This window comes from Homo sapiens, chromosome 4 (assembly GCF_000001405.40).
Source record: "Homo sapiens chromosome 4, GRCh38.p14 Primary Assembly".
NCBI classification, from domain to species: domain Eukaryota; kingdom Metazoa; phylum Chordata; class Mammalia; order Primates; family Hominidae; genus Homo; species Homo sapiens.
In genome coordinates, this window is record NC_000004.12 from 14,266,395 (window position 1) to 14,269,013 (window position 2,619).

At 39.3% G+C, this 2,619-nt stretch overlaps 1 annotated feature.

The window, feature by feature from the left end:
* Positions 815 to 1,906: an enhancer, noted in NCBI's record as "VISTA enhancer hs842". NCBI's record gives its function as "enhancer in: neural tube[4/4] | hindbrain (rhombencephalon)[4/4]" and the evidence as "EXISTENCE:transgenic organism evidence [ECO:0001131][PMID:17130149]".

Below are 2,619 nucleotides of genomic sequence, written 5' to 3' on the forward strand. Positions count from 1 at the left end.
CTCTAAGGTCTCTGTATATGCTGTGCTCTCTTTTTTGAATACTCAATCTCTACCCTACTTGTGGGCTTCAATGATGAAAAGATTCAGTGGAATTCTATTCTTTCTGCTGACTGCTTCGGACCTGACTACAATACAGCTGTTGAATCAGGGGCTCTCTCCCTTGTTCTCATCCATTACATCTATTAACGATGTAATTCTTAGGACTTATCTCCTCCTGATCAAATTATGTGCATGCTTGTGCACTCAGTTTCAGGAACTTCTAATTTGCTATTTCTTCTACTTGAATGATGTTGCTTCAGATGCTCTGTGTAGCTGCCTCCCTCTCATTATTCAGGTATTAGGTCATAAAAGATAATAAAATAGGTATTTAGTGATTGAAAAGAAAGCAGACCTTTCCCACCCCAATCACTACCAGTCATTCTTTGCCACTCTCTTTCTCATTATCTTATTTTACCTGTGAATCTAATACCATACTGTTTATTTTGTTATCAGTTTATTATCTTCCTCACTAGAAAGATTGTGACTTGAGGGCAGTGATTGTCAGCTTTATTTATTGCTATGCCTCCACACCTTGACAATGTCTAATGCATAGTAACATCTCAATAAACATTTGTTGACTGATTGACTGTCATTCCCACTAGGGAGTGAGAGTCTTTAGAACAGAAGCTCCCGAGGTCTTTACATATTCAATACCTAGTGCATGGTCTGGCACCTGTTATATGTTCAAATATATATTGATCAAGTACATGACATTTAAAATCAGCCAATCAGGGGCTAGTTATGCAATGAGAGGTCACAAAGGCAAGCAGCTTCATGGATTGTAATTACTGGAGAGGGTGTCCAGTGGAGACTGGCCGGAATACAGTGAAGAATTGATTAAGATACCAAAGAAAGGAAACCCAGTGCTTTGCACATAGTACAAGCTCAACATATGTTCATAACATTGACTTGACAAAATGAGTTTTATACTTCAACGTTAATTCACTTCGAAAAAAAAAAAAAAACATTTGAAACCTGCCATGGAATCACCTGCTGCTTCATTCAAGTGTGTGTGTATGGGGGTGAGTTGATCTGTGACAGGTGTCCGACAACATGCTAATAGCCACATCTATTCAACGCACAATGTTGACTTTCAGGGACGCTTTCCTTTTCTTCCGCACCCCACCCCCACTTCATAAAACGAATGTCACTCTCCTGAGAGCATCACAATGGCAGTCCACAAATGATCCCTCTCCTTTGAGAGAGACTAACTGTAGGGGAAAAGATAATTACTTAGTTCCTTTATCTCCAAATTATTTGTAATAAAATCTGAAATCACACCACAAGGTCTTTCATGAGGATGTCATAAATTAAGATGCATTGGCGTATCTGGTGCATCTGTTCCATTCTCTGGCCCTTTGTCTTCTGCAAAGAGCACACCAACCTCAATACCCAGCAGACAGCATTTACGCAAATGATGTCATGGTCTGTAGCATTAATATTCAGTGATTGTCTGTCATAGACACCTTACTGTACATCTGTTATGCAAATGTATGTTAATTCCGACTCCCTGACAGCTGCCTAGCTTCCCTCCCTAAAATGATCTTTTCCATTTTGAAGTTTGCAATCTGTTCCCCAAAATGTTAATCCAACAATTAGCTGAAATTGCTAAACAGAAATTGTACATGTTTGATCTAAAATAGAAGGTAGCATTTTAAAATAGATGGTGAACCTTCTTCCCACATCATTTATTTTATATGTGCTTAAACACAATGTAAACACCGATCTCCACACAGCTTGGCTTGGGATATGTGGCAGGTTTTTTTTGACCCCAGCTCTTGGAGTTTGACAAGAAAAAAGGCATCGTTACTCCTGTAATTCCAGTGGCTTTACCTCAAAGGTGAGTCCAGTGATGCACAGTGTTTGTCTCTATGTCTGAAACTTCTGTTTCCCCCCAAAATAATTAAGCAATTGGATGTTAACAAATGACAACAAAAAATTGTAAAGTGGTGAATGATTGAGAATAGAGATCTAAGGGAGCATCCCATGACATACAGAGCATAGGGGACACCCTCTCAGTACATGTTTGATGCATGTTAAGTGAAGGTCGCTTCCATATGTACCACCGCTATCCATTTTGAGGTAGAGGTGAGGAGCTTTGGAGCATTGATGGAAATTTCCATTAAGACCTCAAAGAGGATTATGTTGTTTGAGAGGGCAACAAAATATAGGTTCCATTAAACATTTAGAGAAAACCTACCAAGATTGAAGAAGCACTTATAATGGGCCTACTGTGTGCCAGTCACTGTGTCGGCCACATGAATTGACTCTCAGTGACATTCTTGGGAGGTGAATATCATTATGCAGCCCATTTTGATAGTGACTATCAAAATAGAAAGTGACTCCTACAAATGTACACAGCTTCTGCAACCCTCATCCAGTGCTTTTTTTTTCAGTTTTGTATACTGAAGAAAAGCATGGTTGGATAGAAAGCTATAAAATGTGTAGGGTGAGGTGGATGTCATACACTCCTATTTTAATGGGGCTATTTCTTATTCTGTTCTAAATAGGTGTCTGATGCTTGGCCTCCTGAAAAATCCAAAGCCTTACTAAGGGAAATGGATTTGGATCTGTTCTCTG